The 25,040-nt window shown below is 46.8% G+C and overlaps 1 protein-coding gene across 2 annotated transcripts in view, besides 1 other annotated feature; it reads right to left on the bottom strand.

Moving 5' to 3' along the window:
* Positions 1 to 20,606, bottom strand: part of MSN (moesin) — a 153,555-nt gene extending 132,949 nt beyond the window's left edge. Inside the window, exon 1 of one of the 2 annotated variants that reach the window (NM_001440778.1) lies at positions 20,371 to 20,606. In NM_001440778.1, coding sequence (NP_001427707.1) covers positions 20,371 to 20,385 — 15 coding nt within the window. In that variant the 5' untranslated portion in view covers positions 20,386 to 20,606. Of the gene's footprint in view, positions 1 to 19,914; positions 20,041 to 20,370 lie in introns of those variants that run through there. The other variant, XM_011530959.1, reaches the window with a different exon arrangement.
* Positions 6,947 to 7,066: an enhancer, noted in NCBI's record as "active region_29714". NCBI's record gives its function as "activates an Ori minimal core promoter by ATAC-STARR-seq in GM12878 lymphoblastoid cells {active_cell/tissue: GM12878}" and the evidence as "EXISTENCE:reporter gene assay evidence [ECO:0000049][PMID:35858748]".

Below are 25,040 nucleotides of genomic sequence, written 5' to 3'. Positions count from 1 at the left end.
AAGAAGTCATTTATTCTTCAGTTTGGTAGACATTTAATGAGCTCTGTCTCAGGTGTTGGCAATTTCACTTCACAACCAGAATCATGGTAGTAACCATTTCTTGAGCACCTATTGTGAGCAGGACAATTCTCATTGATTAACTCACTGAATTTTTATACAACCCTGTATGTGGGTGGGGCTTATCCTTTTTCAGCAGAGAAGCTGAGGTTCAGAGAGACATGGCTGAGGTTACTGAGAATGCCTGGTACACTTAGACCATTCCAAAGCTCTTGTTTACTCCACACAGACAGCATGCCATGTACTCTGCCAACACCTCACCTCAATGTTCCCCATAACCCTCAGCACACACTGCATGCTTAGCCCCATTTTCCCCTTACATGTCTCACATATAAAATCTCCCCGATACACACTGCCTGCCTATATCCTGTGTTTCTTGCATTCCACACAAAAACTGAAATGCACATCCAGACTGACTTTACAAGGACACTGACACCCACAACTTTCCCTCCCCTGACACTTCGCATACACACACACACACACACACCTCACATACACATATTCCTGCATGGGCCTTGCATAAATAAGCCCTACCTTCCACCTACCCACTCAGGTATGAACACATCTCCTAGAAATACACAGTCACAACTGTGTTCTAGCAACAAAACTGGGTACAGAGGTTCTTCACTCACCCTGCCTCATGCTCCTCCCTTTCTCCTCCTCTCCCAGGCCTGCCCTGTCTCCATGCAAAACTGTCTTCATTTAACTCACACACAGTCTCATACCGACTGACAGGCTCTGCCCAGCCCATATCCAAAGATTGTAAATCCTTCCCACCCCCTTTCCTTGTTTGTCTGCCCCACACCGTGGCATTTGGAATCAGTTCGCAGAGATGACTACACAGACAGAGCTTTGTCCTGCACCTCAGGGAAGGGCAGTCTGGTAGGGCTATGCCCCTTTCCACCTGCCCTTGCACCCTGCCTCCCTTTCAGTGTTGAATACATTTCCTTGTATCTTTTTATTTCTTAATTTTAATTGAGACAGAGTCTTGGGCTCACTTGGGCAGATCACTTGGGCTCAAGTGATCCTCCTGCCTCAACCTCCTGAGTAGCAACAATTACAAGCATGTGTCACCACGCCCAGTGACTTTTCCTTATATTTGCCTTTATGGTGGGAGAGGTTGAGCCCCAGAACCATGTCCCCTGCCTCCTGTCTTTCAAACATTTGGCTCAGGATAGGGCAGAATTGGAAGTGAGGGCAGGGAATGGTCTGGAATAGCAAAGACCTCCTGGGTTCACATAAAGGCATGGAGACAGGACCTTACCCAAGAACCCAGGCTTAAGATTGACAATTGGGTACTTGTTCTGTAGCCACCACCACTGGTCTCCTTCCTGAAGTTAACTCTCAGTGCCTTATTCTATGATATCATGAATACAAGGGTGCCAGGGTCTTTCTTCACTGCTAAATGTGCCTTTGGGTGACTCCTTCCCTGACCCTGTGTCTCTATTTTCCCCATCTGTCAAAGGAAACCCAGTTATGAGGTCTACTCTATCACCACAAGGAATGGAGAGTACATCGGGGTTATATCAGGCTTGGTGTAGGCTGGGAGTTTTCTCCATAGCTTCATTTTCTCAAGATCTCCCTCTGGGTCAGAGGCCCTGCAGGGGTTCCTTTGTATCATTTTAGAGCCAGAACTGACTTGTCAAAAGCAGTATGTTATAGTGTGATGAGTAAGCTGGCAAGCTTTGTGGTCAAACTACATGCACTTGACTGCTTACTACTTAACCTAAGGCAAGTTGCTAAACTTCTCTCGCCTCAATTTCTCTCTCTTAGAAATGGGGCTAGTGATATCTCTCTCACAGGGTTATTTCACGGATTAAATGAAAAGATGTATAAAATACCTGGTCCATTGAAAATACTCATTAGATGTTTGTTGAATAAATGAATAAACTAAGTAATACAGTTCTACTCAGGCTTAATATCACAGATCCAATAAATATCAAATATAATTCCTGCCACTCAGTGTGTGACCCACTGGAATATAAGCTCCATGAAGGCAAGTCATTTATGTCTGTTTTGTACCTCAAGCTCCTAGAACAGTAACTTGCAAATAGTGACTGTTTGATAAATAGTTTTGCATGAATGAATAAGCAAATGAATTAATACTATATTGCAGCTACTGTGTTAGGCATATGGGACAGAATTCTACGATGGACAGTCCCTGTTCTCATGGAGGTTACAATCTAGTAATTAAATTGATGATCAGCCTGGGCTCAGTGGCTCATACCTGTAATCCTAGCACTTTGAGAAGCCAAGGCAGGAGAACTGCTTGAGTTCAGGAGTTTGAAACTAGCCTGGCCAACATGGCAAAACCTCGTCTACTAAAAATACAAAAATTAGCTGGGCATGGTGGCACATGCCTGTAGTCCCAGCTACCCAGGAAGCTGAGGCAGGAGAATAGCTTGAACCTGGAAGGTGGAGATTGCAGTGAGCCGAGATTGTACCACTGTACTCCGGTCTGGGGAACAGAGCAAGACTCTGTCTCAAAACATAAAAACAGGCCGGGTGTGGTGGCTCACACCTGTAATCCCAGTACTTTGGGAGGCTGAAGCGGGTGGATCACGAGGTCAGGAGATCAAGACCTGCCTGGCCAAGATGGTGAAACCCCATCTCTACTAAAAATCCAAAAATTAGCCGGGCATGGTGGTGGGCGCCTGTAATCCCAGCTACTCGGGAGGCTGAGGCAGAGAATTGCTTGAACCCAGGAGGCGGAGGTTGCAGTGAGCCAAGATCATGCCACTGCACTCCAGCCTGGTGACAGAGCGAGACTCTGTCTCAAAAAAAAAAAAACATAAAAACAAACAAAAAACAAAAAAAATCCTCGGTATGGTGGTGCATACTTGTAGACCCAGTCACTCAGGAAGCTGAGGTAGAAGGATCGCTTGAGCCTGGGAGGTCAAGGCTGCAGTGAGCTGTGATCATGCCACTGCACTCCAGCATGGGGGACACAGCAAGACCCTGTCTCAAAAATTGATTGATTAATCAATTAATGAAATTAACGATTGAACCTAGGCTTAACGCTGTGAAGGAGAATGACGGGATGCTGTGAGAGTGACACACAGAAGGAATTTCTTAGTCTGGGATATGGAAAAGAGTCTCTCAGAGCCAGTGAATATCTGAGCTGATGCCTGAGGAAGGAGTGAATCAGGTGATTAGTAAGGAGAGGAGGTGGTGATGGGTTTGAGCTGTTCAAATACCAGAAAAATGATCAGAGTGGCTGAATCACGGTGAGAAAAGGAGTGAGTAGTAGGAGAAGGAGTTGGAAACATTTGCAGGGACTAGATCATGTAGGCTCTTTTGGGCTATAGCAAAAAATTTGGCTTGTGGTCCTCATGTGATGGAAAGACACTGGAGAGTTTCATGCAGGGGATTAGCATGATCTATGTTTTACAAAGATTCTTCTGGATTTATTGTAAAGAATGGGTTGTAGGGGGCAAGGGTAGAAGCCAGGAGACCTGTAAGGAGGCTAGGGCAAGTCATCCAGTTGACAGATGATAGGGACTTGGACTGGATTGGTGGGAAGTAAATGAAGAGAGAGGTGGATGTGTTAGGGATATATTCTGAGTGTAGCAGGACTTGCCGATAGGCTGAATGGTTAGGGGTAATAAGAAAGAGGAGGCAAAGCTAACGCTTAGATTTCTGGCTTGCTACCTGGGTGGATGATGGTGCCATGTTTCTTTGGCAGGAAAGATTGTGTAGGAACAAGCTTTGGAGTGGCAATGTTCTGTTTTGGCTGTCTTTGATTTACCAGTGGTAAATGGAGAATTTACCAAATGGTAATTTACCAAACGGAAAGGTCAAACCAAATGGAGATGTCAAATTATCAAATGGTAATTTATCACATGGAGATGTCAAACATTAATCTGGAGCCCAGGACAGAGGCTGAGGCATCTTTAATAGGATTGTAAGTCCTGAGTGTGCTGGAGAAGCCATGGGCTAGGTGCGAACAGAGGAATGACATAAACCGACTTTTGTTTTTAACATGATCACTCTGAATGCTGGGTTGAGCATTGACTGTAGGGAGGTAAGTATGGAAGCAGGGAGACCAGGAAGGAGGCCACTTCAGTCATATAGGTGAAGTGTGATGATGGCTTAGACAAGGGTAGTGGTGGTGGAGGTGGGCAGAAGAGGTTAGGTTCAGGATAAATTTTGAAAAGAGCCAATGGACTTTGATAATAGATTGAATATGACAGGTGAAGGAGATGGAAGAGTTAGAGGTGATCCCCAGGTTCTGGGTTTGTCCAATTATGTTGATGGTGGAGCCATTCACTGAGGTAGAGACCACTAGAGAAGAGCAGATTTGGGGGAAAGATGTTTAGTTCAATCCCTTTCTCTGCCCTTCTTGTTCCCTATGCTTATTTCTGATCTGCTGCCACCTTCAGAAGGAGCCTATTCATTCTACCTGAAATCCACTATCAGAGAATCCCTCCTTTATGTTGATGCATAGTGTTTCCTAACCTCTATTAACACCGCACACTTTCCCTGTGGGATGACATGGTTTCCTGTGGCTTCAACTGCCATCTTTATGCTGATGATTTCAAATATTCTATCTCTAACCCTGCACTCTTCTCTGAGCTTGAAACCCACATGGCCAGCCATCTACTGGCTATCTCCCTCTGGACATCCCACGTGCACCACAACCCTACCATGAACCAAACCAAAGCTGTCATATTGCTCCCTGGACATCTGTCCTCTGCTCCAGTGCATGATATAGAGTAGTTGTTAAGACATTGGTTTCTAAAACCAGCCTGCCTTGGCTTATATCCTGGCTCTGCAACTTACTAGTCACTTCAACTTTCTGTGCCTCATTCCCTTACCTGCAAAATGGGAATGATGGTAATGGTACCTAAGCCTACTTCATAAAGTTGTTGTAAGAATCAAATGAATTAATCTATGTAAAGCACCTAAACCAGTTGCCTGGCACATAAGTACTTAATTACCTATTAATTTTACTATGATAATGGTGATGATGGTGATAGTGATAACAATGATCTCTCAAATATGTCCCCTTCTGTCTCTCTTGACTGTGACTACCACGTTGTTAATAATGATCTCTCAAATATGTTCCCTTCTGTCCCTCTTGACTGTGACTACTATATTGTAGGCTCACTTTTTGCCTGGATCACAAGAGCCTGCTAACATAACTGAATTTGAACATAATGGTAGATATGTCATGCACAGTGCTGGGCACTGTAATGACATAAAAGTTTATTAGATATGGCTCTTATTCTTCCGGAGTCTGAAGAAGCCCTATAATCTAGAACCATCCTGTCCAACATGGTAGCCATTAGCTTCAAGTGGCTATTACATTTTAACTTTAGATTTATTAAAATAAATTATTATTAGAAATTAAATTCCTTAGTCACAGTAATCACATTTCAAGTGCTCAGCTGCTTGAGGTCAGACTACTTAGATTCATAACCTGGATCTGTCATTTCCAGGTGCATGACCTTAGGCAAGTTACCTAACCTATCTGAGCCTGTCCTTTCATCTATTAAATGGATCTAATAATAGTACATACTACCCCTACTACCGACCTTACAGGGCTGCTGTTAAGATAAAATGAGTTAACATTTGTAAAGTGTTTTAGTTGTGGTTCTGGAATTCATTTTCTTTCTTTTGTTTTTTGAGATGGAGTTTTGCTCTTGTCACACTATAGGCTGAAGTGCAGTGGCGTGATCTCAGCTTGCTGCAACCTACACCTCCCAACTTCAAGTGATTCTCCTGCCTCAGCCTCCTGAGTAGCTGGGATTACAGGCACCCACCATCTCGCCCAAATAATTTTTGTATTTTTAGTAGAGACGAGGTTTCACCATGTTCGCCAGGCTGGTCTAGAACTCCAGATGTCAGGTGATCCACCCACCTTGGCCTCCCAAAGTGCTGGGATTACAGGTGTGAGCCACTGCACCTGATCTGGAATTCACTTTCTGTGTAACCTTGAGCACGTTGTTTCCCCTCCCTGGCCTCAGTAGGGGTAATCAGACTCCTCTATATGGTCTCTAAGGTTCCTACCAGTTACAGTAGTCTTTAAGAGAAAGGAGCCTGTTTCAGATGGCATAAAGGAGCTGAGATAGAAATGAACATGACACATCTGAGGCATGGTAATTAGAACTGCCATTTATCAAGTGTTAACTCTGTATGGGGCACCATACATACATTATTTCATTTAATTCTCACAACAGCCCCGTGAGGTAGAATTTATCTTCATTTTGTCAATAAAGAAGCTAAAGCTAGACAAATAGCTGTTTGGAAAAGCAAAGCCACTGCCCACTGTCACACAGCCAATAGTGAATGGTAAGGTACCCACTCAAACCCAGGTCTGCCTGACACCGAGACAAAACTCAAAGCCACCCTGCCACACCATCTAGGAGGCTTGATGAGAGAGCGTGGAGCTGGAGAGTGGAGCTGGAGAGTGGAGCTGGAGAGTGGAGCTGGAGAGCATTCCTCCATAATTATATCGGAGTCACTTCAATATAATTATGAAGGAAGCATGGGAGGGGAAAGACTGGAAACAGGGAGGCCCATTAAAAGACTGTTGCATACAGCTGGGAAATGATGGGTGTTCCTGAACTGGAGCAGCAGCCTTGGAGATGAAGAGATGGAAACAGATGGAGGACATCCTACTGTTACTCTGTCACTCTATCATTAATTCCCTGAGGGCAAGAACTCTTTTATCTTTGTATGTCACCCACTACCTGTGTTGTCTCCCCTGCCACACACAGACAGCACAACACAGCAGTTTGCACACAAATCCACTGTTGGTTAAAATGGAATCAATTAGATTTAATTAACAAGATTTGGTAACTGATTAGATCTGAAGAGAATACAAGATGGCTTCCAAGTTTAGAACTTGGGTCTTTGGAAGAAGTTTGAAGTTGCTATCCATGGAGCTGTAGAACGCTCAGAGTAGGCCCTAACTGTCTTGCTTCCCTACCCTAAGATCTATTCTTGGCAGGGGCCCAGCTAGGGTAAAGCTGGCCTTCCCTCCCAAGCATCTGACATTCTGGGCTGGGAAGGAGGCTCTTTCTTCTTGGGCCTCCTTTCCACTTTCCCTGGCCTGGGCAATGAGTCCCTCTTCATAGTATTTGAATCAGAGGAAACAGATAGACTGAGGAAGTGAAGAAAAAACAGGCTGCCTGAGCTCTGAGAGCCAATGTAAACACTCAGTGGTTTCCTGTTGTTGCAGCCCAAAGTGTCCCATGACATCATTCCTGGCCTTTCCAGAACACACTGGTTCAGCCCAGCCTGTCAACCTGCCAGGGCTAAGTGGCAGTCACCTCCCTTCCCCACCAGGGTTAGATCTTCCAGAAATGGGGAGCTTCTCCAAGCCAACCATTTCCCACCCGCCCAGCCAGCCACCGTGGCCTTTCTAGCCCTATAAGGCATTTAGAGGCTGTGGGCTGGACACGCTGTCCCACTTTCCAGAGGCCCAATGGCTTTTGGGTCAGAGAATGATTTCCCAAACCGGAAAAGTTATTCTACTTCTTTTAATGGAGATTTGGAGTCAGGGGAGAGGGAGGAAGGTGTGACACACAGCTTATGAGGCAGGCCCCAACTGCTTCCTCCCCTCCTCACCCCACCCAAGGGCCCACAGGTTTATATTCTCAGTGTTGGTCACAGATTCCTAGGAGCAGAACTAGAAAGGCCCTCTGAATACCTTGTAGCCTAATCTTCACACAGTGCAGATGAGAGCACTGAGGCCCAGAGGGGTAAAGAGACTAGACCCAGTCACACGTTGGTCAGAGCAGTATAAGCCCTCCACTGCCAGAGGTCTGAACCTGAGCTATCACAAGGCAGGATGACATTTTTGCAAGAGTTCTTGACAGGAAATCCAGAAACCAGGATTCAAGTTCAAATTCCTCTGTGAGATCTTGAATAAATTTCTCCTTTTCTCTGGGTTTTGGCTTAGACAGCTATAATTCAATTTCAAGGCAATAAATACTTATTGAGAGCTTACTGTGCTTGGTAGAGCTGACGGCTCTTGAGAAAGAGAAGAAAGCATGATGAGAACACTCGCCATTTCACAGGCTGGAATGGAAATAAAATGAAAAAAAATGGTCTAAATTCTGTAAGAGACCTTAAGCCTATGTGGACTCCATATCTCTGTCTCTGGGCAAAATCAAACCATAATCAGGGTTGTGGGGTCCTTTAAGACTGCATTCCCCTCCCTATTACCTTCACAAGGCAGCAGAGAGTTCTTAATGGGCCAGAGTTTTGTTTGCAAAAAAGATTCCCAGTTCCGCTTCTCATTTAGCTGTGTAGATCTGCATAGAGAGGTGGCAAGGTCCTAAATTATTGTCTGGAAAATCAAGCCAAACACATTATGGTAATTCCTGTAGCCAGCAGTAATAGGATTTCAAGCTGTAGCTATGCCACAGAGCACAGGCAATTCGGAATAGCTCTTTTAGTCAATCAAATGCACCACAGCCTAGCTTAGCAAACACAATTTAGAAGCACGTTTGGGAGCAAAGATGCTTATTCCTGCACTTTAAGATGCATGAAGCAATGTGAAGTCATTCCTTTAGCCGATCAGTTTAACCACAGCATGGATTAGGTGAAACACGCACAGAGGAAGGTACAGACGCATTTAGACGCCTGGAGACGCACATCCATACACAGATGCATATGCAGGAGGTTGCTCACGAACATTGGGAGACACACAAACTCTCAGAGCAGCCAACAGAAATTTTTAAAAAGACACACACACTCCAATCATAAGCTAGGAAAAGACAGCTACCTGTCTGGAATTTTGGGTGGCTGCTTTTTGGCCCTCTGCTCATCTCTCTCCTTAGTCCCCCAACAATGGTCCAAATTCAGATCCTATGTTTTCTCTAAAGGAAACTTAGAAAGCCACCCCCAAAACCACTGCATCTATACCCACCCCCACCACACCACATCAGATTCTTATTACCTATCTGTCACCTGGACAACAGCAAAGATCTGTCACGGCTCCCTGATGTCAGTATCTTTTCTCCAATCCATCCTCCATAGGGCTGCCTGCCAGAGGGAATCTTCATAGAACTCAACCCTGTTCTTACTGCATCCCTTCTCAAAAGCCTCCCTTTCCTCCTCACTGTCATCACAAGCCAACCCAGACACCTGTCATTCATGGGGTGACCAAAATCTGGGACCCCTTTTTCATGCCCTCTGCCCTCCAGAAGGCAGATGACACCTTGCTTAGCTGCCTATTCATGTCCTCTTCAAGCACTCCTACCCCTTGTGCTATTCCCTTGAACTAGAACCACCCAGTTCTGCACCTATCAAAATCCTACCTACTTTGAATATTATTTTTTAAGATGGAGTCTCGCTCTGTCACCCACAATGGAGTGTCATGGCGCTATCTCGGCTCACTGCAACCTCCGCCTTACGGGTTCAAGTGATTCTCCTGCCTCAGCCTACCGAGTAGTTGGGACTACAGGCACATGCCACTACGCCCAGCTAATTTTTGTATTTTTAGTAGAGATGAGGTTTCACCATGTTGGCCAGGATGGTCTCGATCTCTTGACCTCATGATCTGCCCGCCTCAGCCTCCCAAAGTGCTGGGATTATGGGCGTGAGCCACTGCACCCAGCCTTACTTTGAATTTTTTTAAAGAATAAGTGCATCTTTGAAATTATTATTTTTTTTTTTGAGACGGAGTTTTGCTCTTGTTTCCTAGGCTGTAATGCAATGGTGCAATCCCGGCTCACTGCAACCTCTGCCTCCCAGGTTCAAGTGATTCTTCTGCCTCAGCCTTCCCAGTAGCTGGGACTACAGGCTCGTGTTACCATCCCCAGTTAATTTTTTTTTTTTTTTAATTTTTAGTAGACACAGTTTTCACCATGTTGGCTAGGCTGGTCTCGAATTCCTGACCTCAGGTAATCCACCCTCCTCAGCCTCCCAAAGTGCCGGGATTACCGGCGTGAGCCAGCATGCCCAGCCGCAACTAAAATTTTGGTTGTTGTTTTCATCCTTCAAGCCCTGACCCACAAGTCACCTCCTCCATGAAGTCTGCCTCTAATCTCCCAAAAGTGCTGTGTAATAGAACCAAACTTACCCTAGTCAGCCTTAATAGGCATGCATGTATGTTGTATGTCTTCGTCCTCAGAGGAAAGCTGATGGGGGAAGAGGGCAAAACTCCCTGATGCCAGTGCCTCTTCTGCAGCAGACAATGTGCTGGCACTCTTCCTGTGTTATTACATTGCCCGCAGTCCCTCAAAGACAGACTGACAAACCTCAAGACCTCTAGACTCTCAGGCCAGTCTGTTTTGAACTACTCTATCCTAGTCTTGGGTTTGAGTCCTGGCACTTCCACCAGCTTGCTGTGTGACTATGAACAAAGCTCAATTGCTCTCTGGCCTCGATTTTTTCAAGGGTTCTTTCACTTCTAGATCCTATTCAAGACGTAGGATTTTATGCAACTTCTCTCATGCGGCTGCCTGGGACTAGGTATGTCCACTATCATATTATCATATTCATTCATATTTTTTCTCTCTCTCTGTCTTTCCTTGTTTCTGTCTCTTTTCCCCTGTTTTTCTCTCCTCTCTCCTCTTCCCTTCTCTGTTTCTTTCTCTCTTCTGTTTCTCTCTCTGTGTTTCTTTCTTTTTCTTCCTGTCTCTGTCTGTTTCTGTCTGTCTCTAATTCCTGCTCTCTATTTTTATCTCTCCTCCATTTTTTCCTCTTTAGTCTTTCCCTCTTCCCCCCGACCCCACCTCTTTCTTTCTTTTCTCTGTCTCTTTGCCTCTTCCTTTATGCCTCTCTCTTCTCCTTCTCTGATTCTGTCTCTGTTTCATGAACTTCAACCTCAGAATCTGGCTAAATAACTTCCAATCCAAAATAGTTCTGGTGCTTCCTGAGTGTTGCTGGTAAGGAGAGGTAGAAATGGGGTCCCTCTGAGGTTTTCAGAAAGCCCAAGTTCCCTGCTCCTTGGGAAGGGTACCTCACAAAGTTAAGGAGGAAGACAGCAGGATGAAAGGTCTCATAACAGGCCCAGCGGGCTCCTACCCTCCAGCCTTTTACCCAAAGAAACAACACTGCCCACAGATTACAAAGTGTCTTCATCTCCTAAATGATCTGAGCCAGAAGTTCTTAGAAACTATATTCCTACTGTCTTCTGACCCCATCCCACAAAATCATTTTGCAGATGTGAAAACTGAAGCCCATGCATAGGAAAGGACTAGCTCACTATTACACAGTGAAGTAACAGAACTGGAACTAGAATGTTAGTGTTCTGACTCCTAATCAATCTCTGAAAAGGTTATAAAATTGATTCAATGTCTCCAGCCAAAAAGCACTATTGGACTGGGCATGGTGGCTCACACCTGTAATCCCAACACTTTGGGAGGCCGAGGTAGGAAGATCGCTTGAGCCTAGGAGTTTAAGACCAGTCTAGGCCACATAGCAAAACCCCATCTCTACAAAAAAAATTAAAAATTAGCTGGGCATGGTGTTGCATGCCTGTGGTCCCAGCTACTAGGGAGGGCGAGGTGGGAGAATCACCAGAGCTCAGGAGGTTGAGGCTGCAGTGAACTGTGATCACACCACTGGACTCCAGCTTGGACTATAGGGCCAGACCCTGTCTCAAAAATAATAAAACAAGGCTGGGCCAGGTGGCTCACATCTGTAATCCCAGTGCTTTGGGAGGCCGAGGTGGGAGGATCACTGGAGTCCTGGAGTTTGAGACCAGGCTGGGCAACATAGTGGGATGCTGTCTCAAAAAAAAAAAAAGAAAGAAAGAAAAGAAAAGCCAAGCATGGTGGTCCTAGCTACTCAGAAGAGGCTAAAGTGAGAGGATCACTTGAGCCCAGGAGGTTGAGGCTTCAGTGAGCTGTGACCAAGTTCTGCACTGTAGCCTGGGGAACAGAATGAGACTCTGTCTCAAATAAATGTATAAGAAATAAATAAAATAAAATAAAGCACTGTTGGAGTTATTTTTCTAGTAGAAGAAGAGAAAGCTGAGGATTGAAATGGGCAGAGTGGTGACTTAATCAATATCCAGATTGTGAACACTTAAAGGCAGGGTTTCTGTCACCTTTGTCTCCAATGAAAGCCCAGTACAGTATCTGGCCCCAGCTCAGTGATTAATAAATGAGGGAGGAGCTGTCATCAGGCATTTGAGGGACACTGCTGTCTCCTCTGGGACTCTGGGTATTTATGCAGACACTCCAGAAAGCTGGAAATCAGAGGACTGGGGATTTAGTCTCAGTCAGTCCAACACCAGTTCAGGTCCCCCCTCATTCCCCCCACCCCTCCATAAATGAGTTTCTTCTTTATAAAAGAAGAGGTAATGGTATCTGCCTCATCTGGCTCCCTGGAGCTTGAGGAAGCTGAAATAAAAAAAAAAAAAGAAAAAGAAAAATAGGAAAGAGCTTTGACAAAACAAGACACTACTCTGCAAATGTGATGGCTGGATGCTGTGGTGATGTCCCAGCTAGCAATTATGTTCTCAGCGGCAACTGTGGGCAATGAGTGAGTCATCTTCTCACTCTCAAAGCCAGAGGCCTTGAAAGGGGAGAAATGAGGTGAGTCTTTTCTTAAGAGTTTTTTGGAGGGGACCAGAGCAGACTCCCTCCCTCCCAAACACACACACGTACACACTATGCCCCAGATTCCAGCCTCCTGGGGATTCATTCATAGTCAGCTTAAGCAAGGACTGCATCCCTACCTCTGTTATTTAATTCCAAGACACTGGGGTCCCTAAGTTATTGAGGTTTCTTGGAGACTAGAAGTCAGAGTCCCCAGTTTCCATTCAGTCCCAGTTCTACAGCCAGCCTTGGGCTCCGGTTCTGATTTTCACTAATTTACTCTGTGGCTTCAGGTAAATTAGATTCCCTCTCTGAACTCTTTTCATCTATAAAGAAAAAAAAAAACCAACAGGATGAACTAGATGCCTAACATTATGTTTCTGAATCTGGACTGGGATTCAGAAGACCTGGGTTTGAGTCCTAGCTCTATCACAACGACTGTACAACCTTAGTCAACTTCTTTCCGGGGCCTCAGTTTTCACAACTATAAAATGAGGCATTTGGGTTAGATGCTTGGCCGTGTGTTTCAAAAGTTCTGAACTGGCATTCAGGAAACGTGGATTCTAGCCCTAACTGCCACAGAGTGAATCACTGTCTGAGTTTAGACTGGTCTCATCTCTTCTCTGGGCCTGTTTCTCTATCTTTATCATGAGGATATTCAAATATAAGTTATCTAAACACACCCTCTGATTCTGACAGCCTGTGGTTCTAGAATTTTACAAGCACTGAAAAGGAAGTGAACAAAGGGAGAGGCCACACCCAGAGTGATTTCTCATAAACTGGCAAGTGGTTGCCCTCTATGGGTCTGACTTGGAAGTGCAGGCCCAACTAGACCACTTGCTGTAGCAACCGCTAAAGAACTGAGGCCAGAGGGGGGCGCAAGAGATCACTGAGTGCTTCACTAGATAGGGCCAGAATCAGGCTGAGGTAGGCCTACAGACCTCCCAGTCCCTCACAATGAGAGACATCCAGATAAGAAGTGTGTGCTGGGAGACTGGACCTTCTCTCCTAGTGACTAGAAACAAGAGGCTTTCCAGGGCTGTGCAGAGAGCATGGCCAGTACGGTCTCTGCCATGGGCGAAGTGAGTAAATGTCAGGGGTGTGGATGAATGGGGGTGGAGGGTGACTGTGCTATGAGAGTGGGTATGGGAACAAGTTAGTTCCATGGCTGAGAAGTTTTCACATGAGGGGCAAAGATATGGCAAGAACTGCTCAAATTAAAGTGCTTTTCAGCATCCCCATCTACTCCCTTCCCTCCTCAGAGAAGATAAAATGTATGCCTGGGCAGAAAAAAGGAGTGACCTTAGTGTGAGAGTGAGAACCTAATCATGAGAAAGACTAGGGAGTGCTTGGTATTCAGGGAAGGCCCTACTGTCTACAGGATTTGTGGTCTCAGTCTTGAGGTATCACTAAATTTGAGGGGCTTCTTGGACTCAGTATTGCAGGGCATTACATGCTGGAGGTGTAGGGTGGGTTCAGATATAGGGTTATGTTACAGAAACAGGTGCATACTAAGGCTTTCATGCTGTCATTCTATAATGTTTAATTATATAAGTAGCTCTAGGCAGGCCATGAAACACTGGGCTCCCCTCCCTCATCTCTCTTTCTTGGTTAAAAAGTCTGATCATCCAACTCAGATGCAAGGGAAACAACAAAGGCAGCCAGTGTTTCTTGTTGTGTGACAGGGATGGTTGCAGCCCTACTTCTCTCCTGATTCACTGTAGAAACCAGGTCAAGTTTTCAGCCTCTCTCTGGATCTCAGTTTCCCCACCTGAAACAGGAGTGAGCTGGACTTGATGAGGTTCCAGGTTTCTCCCAGCCCTGACATTCTATCTGGTTATTTTTATAATGTTCTGTGGTATTCTATGCTTCTCTGCCCCTACCCAAGTAGGGGCCACCAATTCCCAAAGGTCCTTTCAACCCTAATATCCAAGCCTACTCATTCAAGCTTCCAAGGCTTTCCATTACATCCTAGTCCCACCCCCACCACTTCATCCCACCACCATCCCCTCATGCCACTACCACCATTGCTGCTGCCTAGAACAGGGTACAGTCTTCTCTACTTTTATTTGGAAATTCTAACAACCCACCTCTGATGCTAATGAGTTGACAAAGATTGATACAGTATTGCTCTGAGGTGACAGAACTCCCAGTTCTGCCACTACTTGCCTTTGTGCCCTTAGGGAAATTCCCCCGCTTCTCTAAACTTCATTTTTTCCCAACTCTAAATTAAGGGCGGTGGACTAGAATGGTCTCTGAAAGCTGCAAATTGCTCCAACACCTTTCACTTCTAGGCAATGAGAAGGTCGAGATTGTCTTTGATGTTTTGCCATAATTCTGATCCTCTCTCAGTGTTCCTTAAACGGAAACCTCTCTGCCTACAACCTCCCACCTGATAAGTACCCACAGTTTCCACCAGCAACTCCTAGACCTGTCTCCTTCCCTTCCTCAACCTGGTCCCAACACAAACAAAAAGTTTTTCTCTCCCAATCAAGGTGTCTGTGAGTGATAATAGTTTATTGTGAGGAACAGACTCAATGAAGATAACAAACTGCTTTTTACCCTACCAAATAATTTGCCTGCCGGGTGCAGTGGCTCATGCCTGTAATCCCAGCACTTTGGGAGGCTGAGGCAGGTGGATCACCTGAGGTCAGGAGTCCAAGACCAGCCTGCGCAACATGGTGAAACCCTGTCTCTACTAAAAATACAAAAATTAGCCGGGAGTGGTGGCATGCGCCTGTAATCCGAGCTACTCAGAAGGCTGAGGCAGGAGAGTCGCTTGAACCTGGGAGGCAGAGGTTGCAGTGAGCTGAGATCATGCCATTGCACTCCAGCCTGGGTGACAGAGCAAGACTCCCTCTCAAAAAAATAATAAAATAAAATAATTTGTCTATAAGGTCTTGTCATTAGTTTATTGCACCACCCCACAACTGCTGATTCCCACAAGCCTCTCCCAGAAAAACCACAAACAGACCCTGGGACGGAGACTTTGAAGGATATTTTGAAGGATATTTTATTTAAAAGTTTTTTAAACAGAATTATTCTCACAGCTTCAGCAACAGCAAGGACTCAATTCAACCTCCCAGTCCAGACTAGTTGCTTGGGGTACTTCTCAGACAACCCAGTGGCTTGATTTGAAGTCATACCTGAGATGGTCCCTTCTCTTCCTCCTGGAAGCCATTTCCAAAAGATGTGTATGGTGGGAAGCACCACAGGAAAAGGAGGGAGGAAAAAACATGCAGGTAGTTAAAAAAAAAAAAAAGTAGAAGAGGTGGGAAGGTAGCAGCGGGGATTGGGGTAGCCCCATTGTAGGTACTAAAAAGTGTTTGGAAAAAATAATAAAGAATTAATAAATAAGCAAAATCAAAATTGGTCTTGGTTTGAGATGGAGTCCCTCTCTGTCTCCCAGGCTAGAGTGCAGTGACGTGATCTAGGCTCATTGCAACCTCCTTCTCCTGGGTTCAAGCGATTCTCCTGCCTCTGCCTCCTGAGTAGCTGGGATTACAGGCGTGCACCATCATACCTGGCTAATTTTTGTATTTTCAGTAGAGACGAGGTTTCACCATATTGGACAGGCTGGTCTCGAACTCCTGAGCTCAAGTGATCCGCCCACCTTGGCCTCCCAAAGTGCTGGGATTACAGGTGTGAGCCACCGCACCCAGCCTCAAAATTGTGTTTTTAATCTGGAAGAGGAAATTGCTTGCCGATTGTTGCCAAAAATCCCAGTTTCTTCATTCCTGTCCATGTGATGTGCAATGATAACATTTCATATCTATAGGTGATTACATACTGTTATCATGGCTGAGGTATTGTGACTAATATTGACTAATACATTGTGATTAATGATGGCTAATACTATATCTAAAATATTATGAAAAAGTCACAGAGATGAGGACGAGTGGGCAAGGATAAAATGGGATGAAGAGAGAGACCAGGCACAGTGGCTCACACCTGTAATCCCAGCACTTTGGAAGGCCGAGGTGGGCAGATCACGAGGTCAGGAGTTCGAGACCAGCCTGGCCAACATGGTGAAATCACATCTCTACTAAAAACACAAAAATTAGCTGGGTGTGGTGGCACGTGCCTGTAGTCCCAGCTACTCGAGAGGCTGAGGCAAGAGAATTGCTTGAACATAGGAGGCAGAGGTTGCAGTGAGCCAAGATGGCGCCACTGAACTCCAGCCTGGAAACAGAGCGAGACTCCATCAAAAAAAAAAAAAAAAAAAAAAAAGGGATGAAGAGGATATCATGCAGTTAGAGTACTTTGGTTCAGACCTGACTGACCCGCATCTGCTTGGAGTCTCTGAGGACCTTCAAAGGCCTTCTTACAGCTCTAAGGAGCATTTGTCCCAGGAGCAGTACGGGGAGCAATGCTACAATCTGGCTATGCTTGGGCACTGAAGGTACCAATTGTCATCAATAGCCATAACCCGTTGCTGTCAGGTACTCACAGACAATTAACTATCAATACCCACAGACAATCACCATTAATACTCATAGGCAATGGATGTTGATAATCCTATGGCTACCATCACTCAGAAGTCTCTCATCTGGACCCTAGTCTAGATGGCAGGGGCAGGGATGAGGGGATGGAAGGGGAGAACTAGTTGAGAGGGAGATATAACACTAATCCAGAAAGAACTACTTTCTATCCTTTCTGGTCACTCCGGGGTTAAGAAAAAGGCCTGGGGTAGGGCAAGGGAAAGCTGAAGCCTAGCTAGCCTTGCCCCAGGCCCCTTCCTTCAGGGTGTTCCCTTGATAATAGGGAAAAGTATGACCTGCAGGTAATGGTTAGCTGATCCTGACTAGCAGGAATTGCCATGATCTGGGGCTCCTTCTTATCTGTAACCAGAAACTGGCAAAAGGAAAGAAGGGAAAGTGGGGTCCATCCCTCTGGATCAATAGGCCTATTTACAGGGTCCTACTGGGCCTTAGTTTCTGGCGAGCCAGGGCCACAGCATAATAGCACTGGAAGTGGACCAGGAGCACAGGAACCAACAAGATACCAGTGCACATGCCTGCAGTGGCTGTGACAGCAGCAGTGAGCTGGCCCAGAGCAGACAGGGGATAGACATCTCCCTAGCCGACAGTGGTGAGAGTTATGACAGTCCACCAGAGACATGTAAAGATGTCTCCCAAGTGGGGCTCACTTTGACCTGAGATACACATGCCTAAGAGCTCCCCATAGAGGAAGAGCAAGCCAAAGGATAAGATATCAGCCACCCAAATCAGGAGAAAGGCACACACCTCTTTCCAGGAAGAATGGAGTGTATGAACAAGGACTCTCATGGCCAAGGACTTTTTAAGGAAGCCCAGGAGACGAACCAGCTTGAGGACATAGAGAGAATGAATGGCCCCAAGGATTAGGCTAAGATAGAGTTGCCATACAGCCTTGTCACCTACTACCAATTCCACCAATGCAGGCAACAAACAGAAGATATCAGCTAGATTGAGAGGGCTACACAGGAAGCACACCTTATTCGGGCAGGAAATGGTCCAGGCAAAGAGGTCAGTTCCAAACCAAAGGGGACAGAGCAGCTCCAGGTATAGCAGATGTGGGGCACAGTGGTAAACAAAACCGTTGTTCTGCTGCTACTGCTGCTGCTGGTTTTCCCCCACCCCCCATCCCATGTTCCATAGTAGTGAAGTTGCCAGAGAAGTAATCCAGCTGGACTTCCGTCTGCTGGAAGAAGATGCCCAGGGTACACATGGCAAACAGTGTGGAGAACAGGGAAAGGCACTAGAGAAAAAGATGCTTGTCAGAAATCCCATCTGCCAGCATCCCCACCTCTCTAACTATACTTCCATCCTTGGCTTCCCTTTTTGAGGGATGCCCTCAAATTGTGCCGGAAGTCTATAGATTCGAGTCCCAAGCACCATGCCAAGTGTGTAGCCATTGTGGCATTTTGGGAGCGTCCTTCGGGGGTAGGAGTGTCTAGCATGGTGCCACACACTGTTAATGAGTTACCCTGGCCCCTAAGGAAGACTGAGGTTGGTCAAGAAGCACCCAGAGCCACGGTTTCCAAGTATTTTGCAGTCCCTGGCCTTCTGTGTGGTTCAGCAGAAGGCATTCACACATGCAGGCATTCTCACAGGCCTCCCAGGACAGAAAGTCCTGGGTATGGGTCTCCTTGCCACTTAGCTTGAGCCAGCAGCAAGGTGCCAGGGGTGCTTCTGCCAGGCCCCAATAAGCCAACTCCTCCTCTAGGACATCCCAACAAATGTTGGCAGGGCAGTGCAGCTGCTGAATATGGTAGTAGCCCAGCAGGTAGCCAAAGAGCTCAGGATTACAGTCAAAGAAAAACTCTTGGCCGGCCCCGGTGGCTCACACCTGTAGTCAGGAGTTCCAGACCAGCCTGACCAACATGGTGAAACCTCTAAATACAAAAAATTAGCTGGGCAGGGCAGTGTACACCTGTAATCCCAGCTACTTGGGAGGCTGAGGCAGGAGAATCGCTTGAACCCAGGAGGCAGAGGTTGCATTGAGTCGAGATTGTGCCATTGCACTCCAGTCTGGGCAACAAGAGCGAAATTCCATCTCAGAAAAAAAAAAAAAAGAAAGAAAGAAAGAAAAGAAAAGCTCTTGGACCAGTGGGCCCTGAGCAGCTGGGGTGCCAGGTGGGGATGGCTCAGTCGGCTTGTAGAGGCGGGTACCTGGAAAGGCCCTCATGGTGCTGATGTAGATCAGGTGGCGTATGCCACCAACATCCAGGATCAGTTTATTATCCAAGCCCTCCATGGAAAACTGTGAGCCTGCTTCTAGGCTGGCTGGGATCTACTGGCAAGAGGAGGGATGACAGGGGTTAGGACATGACCCTCCTGCCTTCCTCTCCCTTCCCAGGTTTGGCCAGGGCAGAAAGGGGGCTGAGATCCACAGAAGTGATGTGACAGCCAAGGCACCCAGGCAGGGAGCTGGAGTGCCTTTTCCTCCTCGGTCTTCAGGAATCAGGAGGACAGTGAGCTCTCAAGTGTGGTCACGGTGACTGGCCAGTCTCTCCTGGGCCCAGCGATTCCAGGAGAAAAACCAGCCTAGCCTAGAAACAGATGTCTTTCAGGGGCTCTTGGGAGGCACCTGGTGGCTCTGAGAGAATAGTTGTGCCACGGTATACAGCAGGGAAAGTTACAGACAGGCAACTGCAGACTAAATGGCCAAGATAGGAATGGGGTGTCTCTTAATCTTCTGTCATCACTTTGAAAACTTGGGACTGGGGTGGGGTGGGGTGGGGAAAGAAGTAAATGGAAGAGCCACCAAGGGAGGCTAAGTGCAGGGGATAGAGAGTGGAGTGAAAATGGGAGTGACAGGGAAGCTGTAGGGCCTTAGAGATCCCCAGGCCTCCACAGGGAGTAGGAGGTACCTGACTGGAGAAACTGGCTTGGGGGTCAGTAGATCTGACAGTGGTGGTTATTGACTCCAACTCCCCTGGCACCTGGTCCTGGGCACTCCTCAGCAGCAGCACCAGCAGCATCGGCACTAGCAGCCTCTGTGAGTCTCTCCACTGGGCACCCTAAAATTGCTTTGGGCTTAATGAGTCCCTTGCCTGGGAATAGAAAGGAATAAGAACAGAGTGGGGAGTTGGGAGAGGAGAGAGAGAGAGAGAGGGAGAGAGGGCAAGAGGAACACAGAAAAGCAAATGGTTGGGGGGTGGGGGTCAAAACACCTACACTGATCAACATTTCAGTGTCCCCTACCCCCTGAGAAGAGTTTGCCTAAACCTCCCATGTTTGTCCCTGAGGGCAAAAAAAGAGGGCACAGGCTGGCACTTCCTGTCCAGGAACCTCTCCCAACCCTCAGCCAGCCCCTGTTCACTCACTTGGTTGTTTTGCATGGTCCACGAACACTGGCAGTTAAGGGACTGATGGCTGGTTGAGCGGCGGGGCTGGAGGTGGCTGATGGGTGGTGTGGCCAGCCTTGCTGCTGCCCCCGGAGCTCATGGCTGCCCCTGCATGGAGAGATCTCAGGCCCCAGGGCCAGGGTGTGCTCAGGGAAGAGATAGCCAAGAGCTAAGGTTTTCCGGGCGCCTCTTCTTCCTGCTGTGGCCAGATGAGTAAGGGCAACAACTCAACCCAGGGCTATATGTGCCCCCGCCTGCTTGTTTAGGGAGGCAGTCCTGGCCCCCAGCCAGCAGGACCCTGGCCAACTTTGCTTCTCCTCCTTCCTCCTCCCGCCGCCACCCGCCGCCCTTAGTTCCAGCCTGCAGCAGAGGGAAAGGAGGAGGCAGCAGTTGGAGGAAAAACAGTAAGTTAGGTGGTCAGGCTCCAGCCAAGAAGACATCTCACAAGACCAGTTAATATTTAGAACAACTTTCTCCCCCATCACCCAGCCCCACTCTAATTCCCCACCCTTCCCCCAGCTATGCTACAGTCCTCCTATCAGAAGCCTGCAGAGGAGGAAGGGGCATGGGGGGAGAAGCAAAACAAGGACCAGGAGACAGTCCGGGAGGCCAGATGTGTTCCTGACTGTATCCAGCTGTTTCTGCCCACTCATTTTTATTTTCTTTTCTCTAGAGGCCCTCATGCCAAGGCAGGGGATAGAGATTGGAGAAGGGGAGGGGCAGAGGAACAAGAGAGAATCCTGCTTGCCTGTGGCCTGTGCCAGAACTGGCAGATACCCCAGCCCCTTTGAGACAAGCCATAGCCCCTCCTTCCACCCTTCCCCGACTCCTGCCTCCAGGACCCATCCCTGAGGATTGGGCCAGTCTCCTATTTTGCTAATGAGAGTTTGCTAATGGATCACCCAGATGAATCTAAATTCCAAGGTAGCCCCCACCCCTTGGCCCAGTCTCCATGCCTCTCTCCCTTCACCAGACCAGAAATTTCTATGAGGAATAAAAATTCCTACCACAATCCAACAACCTCCCTAACTCTTCCTTTTCAGCCCGTTCCTCCCTCAGAGCCAGGGCTGAGCTGAATTGAGAGTTTCAAGACATGCGAGCAGGCTCCTGGCTCCTCTTCCCTCTTCATTACTGACTTGCTGTAAGGCTGGTGCAGCGGGTGGTTTCCTCAGTGGACTTCATGGCTAGAATGAGAGCGGAGGGGAGTGGTGACAAACACAAAGGTATACAGGGACCCCTGAGTTCAGCTCTACGGAGCTGGATTCTTAACAAAAAATGGCAAATAAGAACTTGGGCACTTGGAGATTTTCAGAGTGGGGAGGGTAGAAGCATCAGCTCCCTTTCTCTGCCCGCCCCCTTTCCCTTCCCCTTACCTGTGCTTCTCCTCAACCACTCCAGCTCATTTGCTTCTTGCTTCCCTAAACCTGCCAGTCTCTTTCATGCATGGTGCTTTTCTTCGGGACACTGCTCTATCCCCTCCAACTGTATATCAACTACTTCTTCCATATCCATCTCTAATGTCTCACCACTTTGTGGGAGCCTTCCTTGATGCCTTTCCTCCAAGACAGGGTCCTGTCCTCTGCATTCTCATAACCTGCTTTGTTTTTTTTTTTTCCTAGAGTACTTTTCATACTCCTCCCTCCGGCCATGCTCCTGGCATTGAGTGGGCACTCATCGGCTATTGAACAAACACAAGTTATAACCTCTTACGGTTACCAGATCTCTCACTCTTCAGAATACAGTCTTCTGCTTTCCTTAAGACTGACCTAAATCCCACCTGCTTTATTATCCTAACTAGATTGATGCCAGCTCCCATAATGCCTCAGCCTTTTCCTATTTGCCGCGGGCTGGTGAGGTCTAACTGGAAACAAACTGGTGACTAGTCCTGCAAATGCAGCCACAGCAGAGGCAGTTTGCCAGGTTTCCTGGAATGACTCTTCCATCCTTGAAGCAGGACCTCTTCTTGTTCCTCATAGGTCAGATCTTTAAAGCTTCTACCAAGATGCCAAAAGCAATTGCAAAAATAAAAATTAAAATTGCCTGTAATCCGAGAACTGTGGGAGGCCAAGGCAGGTGGATCGCTTGAGCTCAGGAGTTCGAGACCAGCCTGGCCAACATGGTGAAACCCCATCTCTACTAAAAATACAAAAATTAGCTGGGCATGATGGTGGGCGCCTGTAACCCCAGCTACTAGGGAGGCTGAGGCAAGAGAATCGCTTGAACTTGGGAGGCAGAGTTGTAGTGAGCCAAGATTGTGCCACTGCACTCCTGCCCGGGTGACAGAACGAATCTGTGTCTCAAAAGATAAAATAAGGCCGGAAGCGGTGGCTCACACCTGTAATCCTAGCACTTTGGGAGGCTGAGGCGGGCAGATTGCCTGAGCTCAGGAGTTCGAAACCAGCCTGGGCAACATGGTGAAACCCCGTCTCTACTAAAAACACAAAAAAATTAACCAGGTGTGGCAGCGTGTGCCTCTAGTCCCAGCTACTCGGGAGGCTGAGGCAGGAGAATTGCTTGAACCCGGGAAGCGGAGGTTGCTAGACAGAGCGAGACTCCGTCTCCAAAAATAAATAAAATAATAATAATAAAAAAAACAAAAATAGAAAATTTAAAAATAAAAATTGGCAAATGAGACCTAGTTAAAGAGTTTCTGTACAGAAAAATAAACTATCAACAAAGTAAACACAATCTACAGAATGGGAGAAAATACTGTCAAACTCTGCATCCAACAAAGGTCTAATATCCACAATCTATAAGAAACTTAAATTAACAAGCAAAAAACTACAACCCCATTAAAAAGTGAGCAAAGGACATGAACAGTTTTCTTTTTTTGTTTGTTTGTTTGTTTGTTTTGTTTTGTTTTGTTTTTGAGATGGAGTTTCACTCTTGTTGCCCAGGCTGGAGTGCAGTGGTGCGATCTCAGCTCACCGCAACCTCTGCCACCCGGGTTCAAGGTATTCTCCTGCCTCAGCCTCCGAAGTAGCTGGGACTACAGGCACCTGCCACCACGCCTGGCTAATTTTTTGTATTTTTAGTAGAGACGAGGTTTCACTATGTTGGCCACATTGTTGGTCTCGAACTCCTGACCTCGTGAACCGCCCGCCTCAGCCTCCCAAAGTGCTAGGATTACAGGCATTAGCCACCGCGTCCGACCGACACTGTTCAAAAGAAGACACGCATGCAGCCAACAAGCATATGAAAAAACGTTCAACATCACTTATCATTAGAGAAATGCAAATCAAAACCACAGTGAGATACTATCTCACACCAGTCACAATGGCTAGCATTAAAAAGCCAAAAAATAACAGATGCTGGCAAGGCTGTGGAGAAAAGGGAATGTGAATACACTGCTGGTGGGAATGTAAATTAGTTCAGCCACTGTGGAAAGCAGTGTAGGACCAGGCATGGTGGCTCACTCCTGTAATCCCAGCACTTTGGGAGGCTGAGGCGGGAGGATCACTTGCGACAAGGAGTTTGAGACCAGTCTGGGCAACATAGCAAAACCCTGTCTCTACAAAATAAAAAAATAATAACATTAGCCAGGCATGGTGGCACACACCTGTAATCCTAGCAATTTGGGAGGCTGAAGTGGGAGGATCACTTGAGCCCAGAAGTTTGAGGCTACAATGAGCTATGATCATGCCACTACACTCCACCCTGGGTAACAGAGACCCTGTCTCAAAATAAATAAATAAATAAAAGAAAGCAGTGTGGCAGTTTCTCAAAGAACTCAAAACAGAATTCCCATTCGACCCAGCAATCCCATTGCTGGGTATACACCCAACCAAAGGAATATAAATTGTTCCATTATAGAGACACATGCGCGCCTATATTCATTGCAGCACTATTCACAATAGCAAAGACATGGAATAAACCTAAATGACCATCAATGATAGACTGGATAAAGAAAATGTGGGGCCAGGTGCGGTGGCTCATGCCTGTAATCCCAGCACTTTGGGAGGTCAAGGCAGGAGGATTGTTTGAGCCCAGGAGTTCAAGACAGCATGGGAAACATCGTGAAACCCTATCTCTACTAAAAATGCAAAAAGTAGCCAGGTGTGGTGGCACACGCCTGTAGTCTCAGCTACTTGAGAGGCCGAGGCACAAGAATCACTTGAGCCCGGGAGGCAGAGGTTGCAGTGAGCTGAGATCATGCCACTGCACTCCAGCCTGGGCGACAGAGTCAGACCTTGTCTCAATAATAATAATAATAATAATAATAAAGAAAATGTGGTGCATATAAACCATAGAATACTATGTAGACATAAAAAGCCTGCATGCAGTGGCTCACGCCTGTAATCCCAGCACTTTGGGAGGCCAAGGCTGGTGGATCACTTGAGGCCAGGGGTTCGAGACCAGCCTGGGCAACATGGCAAAACCCCATCTCTACCAAAAATACAAAAAGTAGCTGGCAATGGTGGTACACACCGGTAACCCCAGCTATTCAAGAGGCTAAGGCATGAGAATCCCTTGAGCCCAGGAGGTGGAGGTTGCAGTGAGCCAAGATCATGCCACTGCACTCCAGCCATGTCAATAGAGCAAGAATCTGTCTCCAAAAAAAGAAAAGGAATACTACACAGTCATTAAAAGGAGTGATAACATGTGCCTTGCAACAACATGAATGGAACTGGAGGCTATTATCCTAAGTG

This window comes from Homo sapiens, chromosome X (assembly GCF_000001405.40).
Source record: "Homo sapiens chromosome X, GRCh38.p14 Primary Assembly".
NCBI lineage: Eukaryota > Metazoa > Chordata > Mammalia > Primates > Hominidae > Homo > Homo sapiens.
The sequence above is the reverse complement of the archived record's forward strand: the minus strand, read 5'-3'. Positions and strand labels throughout refer to the sequence as shown.